This window comes from Homo sapiens, chromosome X (genome assembly GCF_000001405.40).
Source record: "Homo sapiens chromosome X, GRCh38.p14 Primary Assembly".
NCBI lineage: Eukaryota > Metazoa > Chordata > Mammalia > Primates > Hominidae > Homo > Homo sapiens.
Window position 1 is genome coordinate 330,218 of NC_000023.11, and position 16,742 is coordinate 346,959.

At 66.4% G+C, this 16,742-nt stretch overlaps 1 protein-coding gene across 8 annotated transcripts in view; it reads right to left on the bottom strand.

The window, feature by feature from the left end:
- PPP2R3B (protein phosphatase 2 regulatory subunit B''beta) overlaps positions 3,716–16,742 on the bottom strand; it is a 52,975-nt gene continuing 39,948 nt past the window's right edge. For 5 of the 8 annotated variants that reach the window (XM_047442001.1, XM_047442004.1, XM_047442005.1 and 2 more), the window contains 9 exons: positions 16,484–16,558; positions 15,957–16,043; positions 15,299–15,455; positions 11,666–11,714; positions 11,090–11,179; positions 10,548–10,723; positions 8,561–8,679; positions 8,387–8,493; positions 4,021–4,846 (listed from right to left, as the gene is read on the bottom strand). In XM_047442001.1, the coding sequence (XP_047297957.1) occupies positions 4,150–4,846; positions 8,387–8,493; positions 8,561–8,679; positions 10,548–10,723; positions 11,090–11,179; positions 11,666–11,714; positions 15,299–15,455; positions 15,957–16,043; positions 16,484–16,558 (1,557 nt within the window). In that variant the 3' untranslated portion in view covers positions 4,021–4,149. Of the gene's footprint in view, positions 5,782–8,386; positions 8,494–8,560; positions 8,680–10,547; positions 10,724–11,089; positions 11,180–11,665; positions 11,715–15,298; positions 15,456–15,956; positions 16,044–16,483; positions 16,559–16,742 lie in introns of all 8 variants that reach the window. The other 3 variants (NM_013239.5, XM_047442006.1, XM_011546177.4) reach the window with 2 other exon arrangements.

Here is a 16,742-nt window from a genome sequence, read left to right on the forward strand (position 1 = left end):
GGCCGGGCGCGGTGGCTCACACCTGTCATCCCAGCATTTTGGGAGGCCGAGGCGGGTGGATCACTTGAGGTCAGTTGTTTGAGACCATCCTGGCCAACATGGAGAAACCCCGTCTCAACTGAAAATACAAAAATTAGCCGGGCGTGGTGGTGGCGGGCGCCTGTGATCCCAGCTACGCGGGAGGCTGAGGCAGGAGAATCGCTTGAACCCAGAAGGCAGAGGCTGCAGTGAGCCGAGATCGCACCATGGCAGTCCAGCCTGGGCGACAAACAGAAAACAGGCACAGCATAGAGTCTGCCTTTCTGGAATCGCTATAGCTAGGGGGCTGCCTCCCTAAGCCCCACTTCTCTGAGTCTCCTGCAAGGTTTGTGTGAGTGCCTGGGGGCCGAGGCCCTGGCGAGGAGGATGGGGGCTCGGGGGCCTCTGTGACCTGGGGGAGGGGCTGTCGCGTCCCCCTGTGGTCGCGTCCCCCTGTGGTCGCGTCCCCCTGTGGTCGCACCTGTGGGCTGTCGGCCGTAGGTACCGCTCAGGCCCGTCCTGGTTGCGGGGCAAGGGCCTGTGTGTTGGGGGCTGAGAGACGGGGCCTAGAAGCCCTGTTGTGGGGAGGCCTGTGGGGGGCTTGTCCAAGCGGGACCTCCTATCCCTGCACCACTGGGGTCGTCCCCCCCGACGGGGCCTCGTCCCCCCCATGGCTGCTCCGTGAGGTCAGGCAGCGCCGCGCTAGGGAGATGGGGTGGCCCTGTCCCCGCAGAGGGGCTGTTCTCTGGGGCAGAGGCGGGCAGGACCCCCCGCCTTGTGGTCAGGACCCCCCTCCTTGTGGTCAGGACCCACTCGTGGCGGCCGGGGCTGCTGCGGGAGCTGATACCGGGGTGGAGACAGCTACGCCATGGTGAGGACACGGGGCCGGGGGAGGCTGCAGCCGACGGCCAGGCCCCCGTGCGGAAGACCCGGGGCAGCCCCCGCCTAGGAGCTGCGCAGACACGTCCTGGGGCCGCTGTTTCACCGAGACCCGAACGGCTGCTCCCCAGGCTCTGAGTGGCGTGTGCGGCAGCCAAGGCTGGGGGAGCTGTGACTTCTACACGGCGCCAGGGCGCAGGGATCCCTGCTGTGCCAGGGTCTGCCCGTGGGTCATGGGGAACGTGGTTCGAGGCCCCTCTGCTGTAGCCACGCAGCAGCGTCTTGCCGGGTGCGTGGCCTTGTCTGCAGGCTTGAGACCCAGCGGGGCCGTCTGTGCCACGTGGGGTCTGCGCCGGCCCAGGGGCCGCACCGCTGTCAGCCACAGGATGTGTGTCTCGGGGCTGCGGCAGACGGGGCTTCTGTGCCGTGTGGGGTCCGACCCCTCGGCCTGGGCAGGGCGGCCCGTGGGCACCGTGCTGGGGACGACCTCCGGCCTCTGCTCCTTCCCCGGCTCTGAGTCATAAAGGCCTCCCGCTCCCCCGGGAGCCGTGTCTTCTCTAGGAACTGCTGAGCGCGGCTGGGTCTGGCTCTGCCTCATTCCTGCATCTGATGCCCGCCCGTTCTCCCCCAACTCCCCTTTCTCCATCTCCTCCCTCCCCTCCGTCTTGCCCGTCTCCATTTCCTCCATCTCTCCCTTCTCCGTCTCCTCCGTCTCGTGGCTGTCCAGACCCCGTCCCTCCGCAGGCTGGGTCCCCCCTTGTTCTGGGCGGGGCTCTCGGTGCCGGTCTGGTGCCAGTGCTGGGAACCTGTGGTGCCCGTCACCTCTGCTCCCCGTCACCTCGGCTCCACCTCGAGGAGCTGTGTCCTGTCCCACGAGGAGGCGCCCCGGGACCTCAGGGCTGCAGGCCATGGCTGGGTCCGGCTTTGCCTCATCCCCTGTATCTGAGGCCCCCCAGTTCTCCCCCATCTCCCCCTCTCCATCTCCTCTGTCTCCCCCGTCTCATGGCTCTCCGGGCCCCGTCCCCCCCACCAGGCTGGGTCCCCTTATTCTGGGTAGCCCGTCTTGCCATCACTGTCCCTGCCGCCCCTCAGGACAGCGCTGTGGATGCCGGTCTGGTGCCGGCGGTCACCCCTGCTGCGCCTTGAGCAGCTGTGTCTTGTCCCGTGAGGAGGTGCCCCGGGACCTCAGGGCTGTGGCTGGCACCTTTCATGGTCCTCCCGGAACAGAGCTCATGCTGCTGCTCCTGGGTGGACCCGGGGCTGCCCCTGTGAACACTCTTGGTTCTGACACGAAGGCACCCCGTGAGGGAGGGGAGGGGTGGGCTGGGTCGGGTCCCTGCTCGGGGATCTCCAAGGGGTGACGGCCACGAAGTGCGGGGGACCCACGATTGTCATTCAGAGGGTGAGGCGCTGAGCCCTGGAACATCCTGGCTTCTGGCGGGACGCTGGCCACGGTCAGGGTGCCCCGAGTGCTTGTTTTGTGGGGTCCCTGGCCCCCTGCACACGTGAGCCCTCGGGGGAATGGACCCCCAGAACACGTGGAGGGCATGACTGCTGGGCTCTGGGTCTCCCCGCAGCGCCGCCGTCCACGAGGACCCCCGACAGGACCCCCCCACTTCTCCGGCAAAGGTGTCGGTGTGCACGCCCGGCCCCGGCACTGCCCGGGGCATCTGGGGTTGTGGCTGGGGAAGGACGGGGCACTTGGGGGAATGCATTGGGTACAGGGATGTCGGAGGATGCTCAGTGGCTGTGCAGGGGCCTCACCAGCGTCGTGGGTGGGGGACGCTGTCTTTCACGGCCCCAGGGAGGCCTCTCATGTCTCAGCCTTGAACCCTAATTGGGGGGGCTCCCAGTGTCAGTGTGGGGAGGCTGAGGGCGCTGGTCAGAGCCCTCCCATGACCATGGGCTCCGGCTCATAGGTGTGTGTGTGTTGGGGGGTGGTGTCCGGAGGTGGTGTGGGGCGGACATGGTCTCCCAGACGGGCTCCCCGGAGCTGAGGGCAGGGTGGGCCCTGCGGGCCGTGGCTCCCAGTGTCATTTCCCTGCGGCAGAACCTCCTGCCCTGCACCTGTCCTGTTGTTGGGGGTCCTGACCCTTCGCAGACCCAGGTGGGGGCATCCGGGAATTCAGGGGAGCACCTGGTGACACTGAGGACACCTTGGGGACAGCAGCATTCCCCCGGGAGGTGCTGCCTCGTCTACCCACCACCTGGAGCCCCCGCAGTCTCTCCTCAGGGGTCACGGGACCACCCTGTGCGTCCGCCTCCTTCACAGCGACGGCTGCCGGTGGATGAACGGGGTGCGTATGCTGCTCTCGGGGTGGTCCCGGCTTGGCCCTGCCCTGCCGCGTGGACGCTGCCACCTCCGTTTCCTGGGGGAGAGTTTTGTCGTGTGTGAGGACGGGGTTGTTCCCATGGTCACCACCTGTGACCCTCACCTGCGTGCAGAGGGAGCACAGCTGGGCCTGGGCTCATCCACGTCGGGTGCCCCTGGGGTGCTTGTGGCCTCCCCTGCACAGGGAGCTCCTCCTGGTGGGGCCTCCGACCCCCCTCATTTAGGTGTCCCCCAGCTGTGGACGTCCCCACTCTGGCGCGGGCTCCTTCCTTCTGGGGTCGTTTGTGGAACGGGGCCTGGGTCCGTGGCTCCGGGAGGGAACGGCCCCGAGGGTGGGGTCCCCCTGGCTGGGGAGGGGCCCCGCAGAGAGGCCCAGGCTGCACCCCGAGGCGTCTGGCGTGGCTGCGGTCCCCCTCCAGCACTGACGCTTGTAAATCCTGGACGGAGCCACGCTGTGGCTGAGGGAGCCGAGCCCGTGACTGAAAATCCTCCAAACGTACAAGCGTGATCGCCAGAAACGGTTTTGTACGTTTACACAAAACATTCACACAGCCTGTGGTGGAGGCTCCTGTCCAGGACTGAGGCGCCCGGGAGCCGCCGGTCACCGTTGTGCGCACACGGACCCTTTCCACAGACGCAGGCCCCGGAACCCAGGCTGGGTCGGGAACGGCAAGCGCCAGAGGGTGTCCGTGTGGGAACCCGTCCCATTCACGCGCGGCCCTACGTGTCCCCCTGGCACAGAGCTCTGGGCAGGTCCAGCCACGAACCCACAGCGGCAATCAACACGCTTCTGTGAATAAATAAAAGTTTATCATTCCGTACAAACGCACTCATTTTCCACAACAGTTTTTACACGAGCCGCGGTGGCCCGGTGGTGGCACGTGGGGAGCGGCCCCGCGGCGGCGTTCTCGCGGGCGGCGTCACAGCGGCTCCAGGTCCTCGTCCCCGCATGCGTACTCGTACAGGTCCACGGCGCCCAGCGGTGAGGGCGCCTCGAAGAAGGGCCTCTGGGCCAGCGGGGAGCGCAGCGCACTCAGCTTCTGCTCCACAGGGCTGAGCTCGGCCTCGAACCTGCAACGAGGGGATGGCGAAGACGTGGCCAGCAGCGCGGAGCAGGCCCTGGGCCGTTTTCCGGGAAACACAGGCTGCTCGGCCGCCAACCTCCAGCACGAGACAGTCCCCTGAGCCGACCTTGAGCTCCAGCCGCTGAGCCAGCAACGCGCTCCTGGCTGAGGACGCCGGCTCCACGAATGCTCCCGGGGGAGGGGCCTGCGGTGCAGGTGAAAACCCACCCAGGACGGGACGGAGCCCCGGGCGTGAGCTACACACAGAGGACCTGGGCGGGCGCGCCTCTTCCCCAAAGCGAGCTGCACGGGACCTGTGTTTACAACTGGGTCGTGGTGTCCACACAGGACTGGAGAACAAACAGGACCACAGTTTAGACACATTCTCCCAAAGCACAGAAGCTCCCAGTGGAGGCTACCACTTCCGTTCTGACCAGAACACGCAGCAGTGCGAGGACTGGACGCGCGCCTTCCCTTAAGGTCTCGGCAGTGACGTCGGGCGCTGCTCCGGGGAACCCAGCGCGGCCACGGACCACACAGACTCTCAGAGATCCTGTGGGGACACCTCTGCTTTCCAAGACGCCCCCGACAGCCTGGCACTGAGCTCCCCGCGGTCACCCCCACGGACCTGAGCTCCCACTGCCGGAGCAGGCGTGGACACGGTGAAGGCAGTCGACCCCAGCGTGCTGCTGGCTGTGCCGCAGACACAAAGCCGGGCAGCCGTGGGGGTGGACACTGGTCAGGTGGGGAGCAGAGGTGACAGACGGTGGTGGGGACAGGCGCACACCCATCCAGGCTAGGTCTGGGGGCCACAGCTGCCTTAGGGTGTCCGACAGGAGAAGGCAGAGACTGGGAAGTTGTGGGGACCCAGAGGTTGGCTGCCAGGTCAGAGCCACCGTGCAAACAATGACCACGAGGAGGACGGACACACAGGACAGACGGCCCAGGGTGGGCCGCAGGGGCCCTGTGCTGCTTGGCAGGAATCGGACGGGGCGGCTGATGGGGGAGCAGGGGTTAAAATGCACGTCCATGGAACCCATGGGTCGGGAACCCAACGGTAACCAGAAAGTATTTTGAGCTGCACCAAAATCAGAAGGCCGCGGGCTGCGGTGTCCATGGCCCACGTCGCTGCCTGAAGATACTCAAGGAAAACAGCAGAACAAAGGGGAGAAACACCCGTGGTTCCCTGGGAAGAGGAGTGAACCTCGTCGGCCCCTCGCCTCACTGATCACACACAAAGTCAGTATCAGGAGCGTGAGAGACGCTATCACTGGATTCTGCAGACATCAGAGTCACGAGCAGGAAATACCAACAATAACCCACTGATGGGAACGGGCAAGTTTCCGAAACACACAAACCAGCAAAGCTCACTCAAGGCTGGGCAGGGGCTCACACCTGTAATTCCGGCACGTTGGGGGACCGAGGCGGGGAGAACCCTCGAGCTCAGGCATCCAAGACCAACCTGGGCAACACGGTGAAACCCCATCTCTACAAAAAAATACAAAAAAGTAGCCGGGTGTGGTGGTGCGTGCCTGGAAGCCCAGCTACTCGGGGGGCTCAGGTGCGAGGATTCCTTAAGCCCAGCAGGTGGAGGGTGCAGTGAGCTGAGATTGCGCCAATGCCCTCCAGCCTGCGTGACACAGCCAGACCCTGTCTCCAAAAAAATAATAAAATACTACAGATAATCTCTGCAAAGAGAATCCAGTAATATGTGAGGATAACACATGACTCGGCAAGATCTATCCTGGGAACACGAGGCTGGCTGAAAATGACTCGGTGTAACTCGCTGTATGGACACACAGAGGAACCACGGAGCGAAAGCATCTGAGAAATTCGGCCCCCACTGCGAGAAAGCCCCCGCAGACCAGGAAGAGGGAGAACATCCTCGCCAATGAGCGTGCTTACCGCTGCGTGAGGGGAGACGTCCCCCAGGACTGGGAACGAGGACGGCACACAAACCAGCAGGGCTCACTCAAGGCTGGCCGTGGTCTGCCCTGACATCCACCACATCTCCCTGCGGGTTCCAGGCCATGCAGCAGGCAAGAGAAAGGAAGTAACGTACACAGAGAGGTGAAAAGGAAGACGAGAGACGGACCCACTGACAGACATGGGCTGTCCACGCAGAAAACCCCAAAGAACCGACAGAGCTTTGAGATCCAGTAAGTGAGTTTCATGAAGGTGCAAAACACAAGGTCAATAAATTCTATATGCTACCAACGAACAACTGGAAACGGGAACCTTAAAAGCACCGCTGACAACAGGAAAACATCAGGAAACACTCAGAAGTCTCACAACATTCGCATCAAGCGTACACGGAAAGCTACAAAAATCCTGCCGAGAGACACGGACGGCGCCCATGGACTGGGCCTCCTGCGGTTATGAAGGCGGCAGCTGGGCCCACAGGGATCCATTCACTCAGCGAGATCTCACTCAAAAGTTCAGATTGTTTGTTTTTGTTTTGGAAATGGAGTTTTGCTCTCGTTGCCCGGGCTGGAGTGCAGTGGCGCGATCTTGGCTCACTGCAACCTGCACCTCCCGAGTAGCTGGGATTACAGACGTGTGCCACCATCCCTGGCTTTTTTTTTTTGGAGACGGAGTCTCGCTCTGTCACCCAGGCTGGAGTGTGGTGGCGCGATCTCGGCTCACTGCAAGCTCCGCCTCCCAGATTCACGCCATTCTCTTGCCTCAGCCTCCCGAGTAGCTGGGACTACAGGCGCCCGCCACCACGCCTGGCTAATTTTTTTTTTGTTTAGTAGAGACGGGGTTTCACCATGTTGGCCAGGATGGTCTCGATCTCCTGACCTCGTGATCCGCCCTCCTCAGCCTCCCAAAGTGCTGGGATGACAGGCGTGAGCCACCGCGCCCGGCCAGAAGGAGCCTATTCTTATGTGTTTTCATACAAAGGCAAAGAAACCAGAATAGCCAACGTAGCGCGGGACAGAAGCAGAACTGAGAAGCTCAGCACGGGATGGCAAAAGTGACCACGTCGCTCCAGCGTGCACCACGGGAGGCCGGTGGGGGCCACAGTCCACGTGGTCCCGGGACCAGCACTCACCACCACGTCAGAGTCCAACACACGTTCCCACAGGACGGCAGAGCAAGGACGGGCTGAGTCTAAGATTCACACACAGGCAGCCCAACACCAGAATGGCCCCGACAGTTCCACACGGCGCCCAAGTCGGAGGCTTCTCACCACAGCCAGCTCTGCCGCGGGAACGGACAGACGCGTGCAGCAGTGGGACGGAGGAAGGTTCCGGAACGGAGCCCGCACACGGCACAGTCACGACGCCGAGGCAACGCTGCGGCCTGCAAAGCTGATGCTGGGACAGTCGGACACCCGGACACCCACGTACCACAAGGGGAACCTCAATCCGAGCTTCACACCCCACAGGGAAGGTTACTCAAGAGGACCCCAGACCAAAACACAAAACATCGCAGAGGAAAATCTTCGTGGCTTTGGATTCAGAAATGAATTCTTAGATATGACACCAGAAACACCGCTGTAAAAATAACCAGTCAGTGTCTCCTCCTCCAAATTCAGAACATCTCTGAGACACCACGTGAAGAGGGGGTGAAAACATACGTCACAAACTGGGAAAAAGGCGAACACGTCGCAAATAAAGGGTTTGTATGCTGAAGACACGAAGAACCCTCACGCTCCGTGAGAAAGCAACCAGCCCAGGGCCTCTCAGGGCCTCCAAGGCTGGAAGGCCGAAGCGGAGGCTGGAATGGCCACGGGCCCTGCAGCCTGCCCAGCAGGTGCCAGCCGTGGGATAAGGACAGACGTCGTTGGCGAAACACGACTCGGCCTCCCCGTGCTGGGCCTGATGTGCGAAGCCTCGCGCCCAGGATCACAGAACCCCACGCGGGGAATGACGGGCAGACTGCACCGAGGCCCGGCCCTGTCATCGGCTGTCCTTACCTCACCGGCCCCGTGTCAGGTCTCACCCCGCCCCTCTGTGTCCGCGCACCCCACCTGACTGACCCCGCATCCCCCGGCTGCACACACACCCGTCCTCCCACTCACCCGTCCTCCCCACTCACCCGTCCTCCCACTGACCCGTCCCCCCACTCACCCGTCCTCCCCACTCACCCGTCCTCCCAGGGCTCTCCCGCAGTCTCCTCGGCCACCAGGATGTCGTACTCCTCGGCCGCGTACTTCTCCCAGTCCGAGAGCTCGGGGCCGCCGCTGTCACCGTCCTGGAGGAAGCACACGGGTTACGTACACGGCGTGGCGCGGCCCGGCCCGCGTGCCCGCCGCACTCACCCTGAGCAGGGAGATCTGCTCTTTCTGCTCGTGGTCGAGGTACTTCTCGATGTTGAAGAAGGTGTCGAAGAAGACGTTAGCCAGCTTGCAGCGCTTCAGGTCCTGCAGCGTGATCTTCCCTGCGGGGAGGGGAGTGCGTCCAAGGCGCGTGAGCCCGGTCTCACCTTCGGGGCCTGGGTGTGGGGTGCGCGCGTCCTGTCACACGTGCTTAAGGACGCGGCACGAAGCTCCGGGCTCTCACGCCACGTGTTTGACGTGAAAGGCGGACACGCGAGTGTCCTGGTTCTGGGTGGGGACTGAGGCGTGGGAGGCCGTGATGCGGAGGCGACTAGGGGCCACCGGTGCCCCAAGGATGCGTGGACTGGGACTAGCGCAGGGAGGCGCGGCCAGCAGGGGCGCTGCTGGATCTGAAATTACAGAGAACGGAGCTCCCCGTGCAGGCAGAGGCCAGAGGGTGTCCCGGGGACACTGAGCAGCAGGAGGCGCCCCATGGCCGGGGGGGGCAGGGCTGCAGGGCGGTGCCCGGGCCTCAGAGCCATTTCCAAAGTGAAAGTCCCAGAGCTGGATTCTGAGATGCAGAAGGAAGCCAGGCGGCGTGGACGGTGGGGCTCCCCTTTGCCTTAGAGGGCACGGGGGTGGGTGGGAGGAGCTGGGGAGATGGTGTGGGGGGAACAGGGGTGAGGGGAGGAGCCGGGGGGGGGTGAGAGGGGAGGAGCCGGGGGGGTGAGAGGGGAGGAGCCGGGGGGGGTGAGAGGGGAGGAGCCGGGGGGGGGTGAGAGGGGAGGAGCCGGGGGGGGTGAGAGGGGAGGAGCCGGGGGGGGATGAGAGGGGAGGAGCCGGGGGGGTGAGAGGGGAGGAGCCGGGGGGGTGAGAGGGGAGGAGCCGGGGGGGGGTGAGAGGGGAGGAGCCGGGGGGGGGTGAGAGGGGAGGAGCCGGGGGGGGGGTGAGAGGGGAGGAGCCGGGGGGGGTGAGAGGGGAGGAGCCGGGGGGGGTGAGAGGGGAGGAGCCGGGGGGGGTGAGAAGGGAGGAGCCGGAGGGGGTGAGAGGGGAGGAGCCGGGGGGGGGTGAGAGGGGAGGAGCCGGGGGGGGGTGAGAGGGGAGGAGCCGGGGGGGGGTGAGAGGGGAGGAGCTGGGGGGGGTGAGAGGGGAGGAGCCGGGGGGGTGAGAGGGGAGGAGCCGGGGGGGTGAGAGGGGAGGAGCCGGGGGGGTGAGAGGGGAGGAGATGGGGGGGGTGAGAGGGGAGGAGATGGGGGGGGTGAGAGGGGAGGAGATGGGGGGGGTGAGAGGGGAGGAGATGGGGGGGTGAGAGGGGAGGAGATGGGGGGGGTGAGAGGGGAGGAGATGGGGGGGGCGAGAGGGGGGGAGGAGCCGGGGGGGGTGAGAAGGGAGGAGACGGGGGGGGCGGGGTGAGAGGGGAGGAGACGGGGGGGGGGGGGGTGAGGGGAGGACCGCCTTGTGCGGCATCAGCACGAACGTGGCAACTGCTCCCTCAGCCCAGTGCCAACGTCCCCGGTGAGCTCCGGCCCTAGGTTCTCTAGGTCACCCCTCGGGGGGTGTCGACGCCCCGAATAGGAGGTTCTTGCACTGTGAGACTAGGCACCTGTGGTGCTGGCCCTCCTCACAAACTCAGTAGGACAGCGCCTCACAGGGACGTCCCCTCACCCTGGTCCGTCCCCCCTCCCGTCTGTCCCCTCACCCTGGGCCGTCCCCCCTCCCGTCCGTCCCCTCACCCTGGGCCGTCCCCCCTCCCGTCCGTCCCCTCACCCTGGGCCGTCCCCCCTCCCGTCCGTCCCCTCACCCTGGGCCGTCCTCCCTCCCGTCCGTCCCCTCTCCCTGGGCCGTCCTCCCTCCCGTCCGTCCCCTCTCCCTGGGCTGTCATCCGTCCCCTCTCCCTGGGCCGTCCTCTCGCCCGTCCGTCCCCTCACCCTGGGCCGTCCTCTCGCCCGTCCGTCCCCTCACCCTGGGCCATGCCCTCACGGGGCATCACCTTCAGTCCTCGGCTTGACCAGGTCCAGCATCTGGCAGAGGCAGTCCTGGAAGGGCAGGGCCTCGATGGCCATGCTGTCCAGCCTTCGGCACTGCTCCTCGTAGAAGTACTCGAGCTCGAACATGGACAGGGCGCCGTCCCCGTCCAGGTCCATGCAGCGGAACCAGTACTCGATGCTGCGGCACGGCGAGCTCTGTCAGCCCCTGCCCTGGGCCCTCCCAGCCCGTGACCTGCAGCCCCTGAGGCAGCCCCCACCGGGGGTGCACGCGTCCCCGCTGTGCCTTGCAGCCCCCACCGGGCGTGCAGGCATCCCCTGCCCCCTGCCGCCCCCACCGGGCGCGCACGCGTCCCCCTGTGCCGTGCAGCCCCCACCAGGCGTGCACATGTCCCCCTGTGCCGTGCAGCCCCCACCGGGCGTGCACATGTCCCCCTGTGCCGTGCAGCCCCCACCAGGCGTGCAGGCATCCGCCTGGGGACACATGTCACATGGGCGGCTCCCGGCCCCTCCACTGGGACAAACGCATGCCGCAGCAGGAACCCACCTGGTCGGTGTTTTTTTGTCTTCCTCAGAGATCAAAAACCAGACAAAGTCGGCATAGCTGATCTTCCCTTCCTTCTGCACTTTTCTGCCTCTAGATCGAAAGCCAGGATGGAGAGACGAAGATGCATGTCAGGGAGAGCTTCACAGGAACGGAGCCCCTGTCCACGCGCCTCGGTGAGGGGAGCCCCCCGGGCCCGGCCCTCCTCCTGCCCCCCTCCTGCCCCTCCTCCTGCCTCTCCGGGGAGGAGGTGGAGGCCCCGTGGCCAGAGGGTTTTCCCCAGATCCAGGCAGGGTCAGGAGTGCACCTTCGTTACTGCTCACTCAGGCCCAGCGCCCGACAAGAACCCCCGACCTGGGGCCTGGGCCACCCCCTTCCTCAGACTTCGCGTGACAGTCTTGTGCCACCCCCCCCCACTAGGGATTCACGTGACAGAGACACGTGCCCCCCTCGCCAGGGCCTGGGGTGACAACCACTCGCTGTCGGGGCACAAAAAGCTCACGTCAGGCAACGATGAGGAGAGGGACCGGGGTCCTCGCAGGGGCAATGGCTGCCGTCAGGCGCCTGAGCCGTACGTACCGTGTGACTGCTCCTGAGAAGATCCTGTCTATCATCTTGGTAGAAAGGGCTGGAAAGGAATGCGGTTGATGGGCAGCCCGCACCGTGCCTCGGCCCCGACGTCACCACCCCCCGGAGCCGAGACTGGATGCGGTGGGGACCGAAAAGCTGAGAGGACGCCTGGGTCTGGGAGAGCCCCGGGGCCCCGATGCCCCTGCACGGCCCATCCTAGGGGCCCACCACGCTTTCCCGTCGAGCAGAGCCAAGTCCAGCATGAAATCCACAGAGCGCAAAGCTGACCGCGGCTCCAAGACCGACTTGTAAAGAGCAGAATATTCAGGCCTCAAAGGTACAGCTTTCAGACGGAGAGAGAGACCTCGAGTGTGATCACGGAAACAAACACGTTTCAACCAAAGGTTCACCAACGGGAGACGGGAGTGAGACCTCAGCAACGGGAGGCGGGAGTGAGACCTCAGCAACGGGAGGCGGGAGTGAGACCTCAGCAACGGGAGGCGGGAGTGAGACCTCAGCAACGGGAGGCGGGAGTGAGACCTCAGCAACGGGAGGCGGGAGGGAGACCTCAGCAACGGGAGGCGGGAGGGAGACCTCAGCAACGGGAGGCGGGAGGGAGACCTCGCCAACGGGAGGCGGGAGGGAGACCTCGCCAACGGGAGGCGGGAGGGAGACCTCGCCAACGGGAGGCGGGAGTGAGACCTCGCCAACGGGAGGCGGGAGTGAGACCTCGCCAACGGGAGGCGGGAGTGAGACCTCGCCAACGGGAGGCGGGAGTGAGACCTCGCCAACGGGAGGCGGGAGTGAGACCTCGCCAACGGGAGGCGGGAGTGAGACCTCGCCAACGGGAGGCGGGAGTGAGACCTCGCCAACGGGAGGCGGGAGTGAGACCTCGCCAACGGGAGGCGGGAGGGAGACCTCAGCAACGGGAGGCGGGAGGGAGACCTCAGCAACGGGAGGCGGGAGGGAGACCTCAGCAACGGGAGGCGGGAGGGAGACCTCAGCAACGGGAGGCGGGAGGGAGACCTCAGCAACGGGAGGCGGGAGGGAGACCTCGCCAAGGAGAGGCGGGAGTGAGACCTCGCCAACGGGAGGCGGGAGTGAGACCTCGCCAACGGGAGGCGGGAGTGAGACCTCAGCAACGGGAGGCGGGAGTGAGACCTCAGCAACGGGAGGCGGGAGTGAGACCTCGCCAAGGAGAGGCGGGAGTGAGACCTCGCCAACGGGAGGCGGGAGGGAGACCTCGCCAACGGGAGGCGGGAGGGAGACCTCGCCAACGGGAGGCGGGAGGGAGACCTCGCCAACGGGAGGCGGGAGGGAGACCTCGCCAACGGGAGGCGGGAGGGAGACCTCGCCAACGGGAGGCGGGAGGGAGACCTCGCCAACGGGAGGCGGGAGGGAGACCTCGCCAACGGGAGGCGGGAGGGAGACCTCGCCAACGGGAGGCGGGAGGGAGACCTCGCCAACGGGAGGCGGGAGGGAGACCTCGCCAACGGGAGGCGGGAGGGAGACCTCGCCAACGGGAGGCGGGAGGGAGACCTCGCCAACGGGAGGCGGGAGGGAGACCTCGCCAACGGGAGGCGGGAGGGAGACCTCGCCAACGGGAGGCGGGAGGGAGACCTCGCCAACGGGAGGCGGGAGGGAGACCTCGCCAACGGGAGGCGGGAGTGAGACCTCGCCAACGGGAGGCGGGAGTGAGACCTCGCCAACGGGAGGCGGGAGTGAGACCTCGCCAACGGGAGGCGGGAGTGAGACCTCGCCAACGGGAGGCGGGAGTGAGACCTCGCCAACGGGAGGCGGGAGGGAGACCTCGCCAACGGGAGGCGGGAGTGAGACCTCAGCAACGGGAGGCGGGAGTGAGACCTCACCAAGGAGACGCGGGAGTGAGACCTCAGCAACGGGAGGGGGGGAGGGAGACCTCACCAAGGAGACGCGGGAGTGAGACCTCAGCAACGGGAGGCGGTAGGGAGACCTCACCAAGGAGACGCGGGAGTGAGACCTCAGCAACGGGAGGCGGGAGGGAGACCTCACCAAGGAGAGGCGGGAGGGAGACCTCAGCAACGGGAGGCGGGAGGGAGACCTCAGCAACGGGAGGCGGGAGGGAGACCTCAGCAACGGGAGGCGGGAGGGAGACGTCGCCAAGGAGAGGCGGGAGGGAGACGTCGCCAACGGGAGGCGGGAGGGAGACGTCGCCAACGGGAGGCGGGAGGGAGACCTCACCAACGGGAGGCGGGAGTGAGACCTCACCAACGGGAGGCGGGAGGGAGACCTCAGCAACGGGAGGCGGGAGGGAGACCTCACCAACGGGAGGCGGGAGTGAGACCTCAGCAACGGGAGGCGGGATTGAGACCTCACCAACGGGAGGCCGGAGTGAGACCTCACCAAGGAGAGGCGGGAGTGAGACCTCACCAACGGGAGGCCGGAGTGAGACCTCACCAACGGGAGGCGGGAGGGAGACCTCACCAACGGGAGGCAGGAGTGAAAGCACCGTCGCCGTCAGCTTGGGCCACGAGAAGGTCCCGCAGCCTGGGCGGCCATCCCTGCGGTCACCGGTGTCCCTGGGACGCACGAGCCAAGGTGCCGCCCCCCGCTTCAGGCCGCAGTGCGTGAGAAACAGCGCAGCCCGGCCGCACACGGCATCCTGCCCTGGGACCGAGAGTGGGCTCCAGAGGAACGCGGAAAGCTGGGGCCGCGCCGGGCCGGGGGTTCACAGGGACAGTGAGCGCCTGGTTCTGGGCCGATTCCCAGCTGTGCAGGTGCTGGCCCAGGCCACACGGGCCGGCGCTGTGGAGCTGTGCTCTCCTCGTGGCTAGTTAGGGGCCCAGGGCGCAGGTGGCTCCCTGAACTGAGCGCAGGACAAATCCAGGGAATGCTACGTCTGCTCAGGTGCGCGTCCGACGCAGGGATCTACTGCGGCCACGCGACCCAGGACCAGCCCCGGGAGACGCAGACGGGTGCAGCTCACGTTCGGGGAACCAGGCGTATTATGAGTCGACCACACACAACAGATGCCACCGTAATTCGGAAACAGTCTTGGTCATATGGTTTTTTGGGGTAAAAAGCACACTTAAAGGAATCCTTTAGAAAACTCAAGCCCCACAGGCCACAGGCCGCTTTGAGTTCCTGCAAGTGTGGATGACTCTTAGAGGGGCCGGGAGGCAGTGGCTGCTGTGAGGACACCTGGGCGGCACCGGCTCCCGCGGAGGTATATGAACGACCGCTAAGCCTGGGGCTCCACCTAGCCCGGGATTGGATGGAAACTGCTCCAGGCCTTGGGGGCTGGAACCTGGAGCTCCTGAGGGAAGGCGTGTGGCCTGCCCGCCCTTGCTCGGGTGTTAACAAGGAAGCCCCACAGCGCTGCTGGCCCTCGGGCCAGGAGCTTCAGGACCAGCGGCCCACACTGACCCTGTAGACGCCCCCAGGCAGAGGCCTCGGGCAGAGGCGCACGCGGGGACCCAGACACGGGGCAGCGACTGGGGAAGGAGAGGCAGCTGCAGACACAGAGCGGCGAGTGCGAAGGAGAGGCAGCTGCAGACACAGAGCTGGGAGTGCGGAAGGAGAGGCAGCTGCAGACCCGCAGGCCCTGAGAGAAGGGTGTGCTCGGTGTCCGCGCGGCCCGCCCGCCCCTGTGCCCCCACGCACCGTGGTCATTGTGCCGCGCCAGGTCGTCCGCGTCGATGAGCAGGTCGTGGTCCGTGTCCAGCTCCCAGAACTTGCAGTAGATGACGTAGAAATGCTCGTACGAGAAGAATTCGGTCAGCTGGTTGATGTCCGCCTCCTCCTCCAGCAGCGCCACATTCTGCCAAAGGACCCAGGCGGCCTGAGCGCGGGGCCTCTGCGGGGATGCCCCAAGTCCGCCTGGCTGCGGGCGGGGCAGGGAAGGCTGGGAGGGTCGGGGCCGCTCCGTGGGTGGGGGGGACTGGGCAGCTGGGGCCGGGGGGCACTCCGAGTGGGGGCAACTCTGCGGTGGGGGGAGCTCCAGCATGGGGGTGGCTCCCTAGGCGGGTGTGGGGGTGGGGGCAGCTCTGGGGGAGTCAGGGCTCGGCTCCCCCTCAGGGTGGTGCCCAGTACGGCCCCACCCGCCTCCTAGATCAACCGTGGACCCCCAACCGCAGGCGGCGGGGTTCCAGTGCTCACAGGCCTGGGGGTGGGCTGGGAGCGCGGTGGAGGTGGGGGTGGGGGTGGGGGTGGGAGAGGGGGTGGGAGGGGAGGAGGGAGGGGGGAGGAGGGAAGGGAAGGGAGTGGAGGTAGGAGGGGTAGGGACAAGGCAGGGGGCAGGGGACAGGGGGCCGCTCCGCACCTGCAGGAAGGAGCTCCTCCGCAGCTCGGCGCAGGTGATCCTGCCGGACCAGGACCGGTTCACGGCGTAGAAGATCCGCTGGATGACCTGCGGGGGCGCTGTCAGTGCGGTGGGTGCGCAGAGACCCCCAGGAGCCTCGCCCCGCACGGAGACCGGGAGCCGGGAGAGGGGCGCGCCCTTGGTCTCAGCCGCACGGGGCCGCCAGGGCACAGGCGGGGGCAGAGGGAAGGGCCCTGCGGGAGGCGCCGCCCCAGGCCGCGGAAAGCGGGGAGGGTCTGGCCGGGGACGCCCCGGAGCTACACGGGCCCAGGACAGGTGGGAAGGGGGTGCGGCCACCCCGGAAAACCAGAGTCCCCCCAACACCGGGCTCCCGGGCGGGTGGAGACTCTCCCAGAGCGCGGCCGCCTCCTCCGGAAGCTCAGGAACCCCGGGCCCCGCCCGCCCCGTCCGCAGAAGCCCCGCGGCGGCCGCTGCAGAAACACCCGCGCCCCGCGCTGGAACCGACGGCCCCTCCGCTGGGGACCCACCGTGGTGATGTAGCGCGAGTGGAACTCGGACGCCTCCTTCAGGAACGACAGCCCCGGGTGCGTGTTCACCACGTCCTGCGGGTGGGAAGACACGAGGCGCGTGGTGTAGACGCCGGCCCTCCCGTGAGGTGTGCGGTGTGGACGCTGCAGACGCGGACCCTCCCGTGAGCGATGAGGTGTGCGGTGTAGACGCCGGCCCTCCCGTGAGGGATGAGGCGTATGGTGTAGACGCCGGCCCTCCCGTGAGGGATGAGGCATG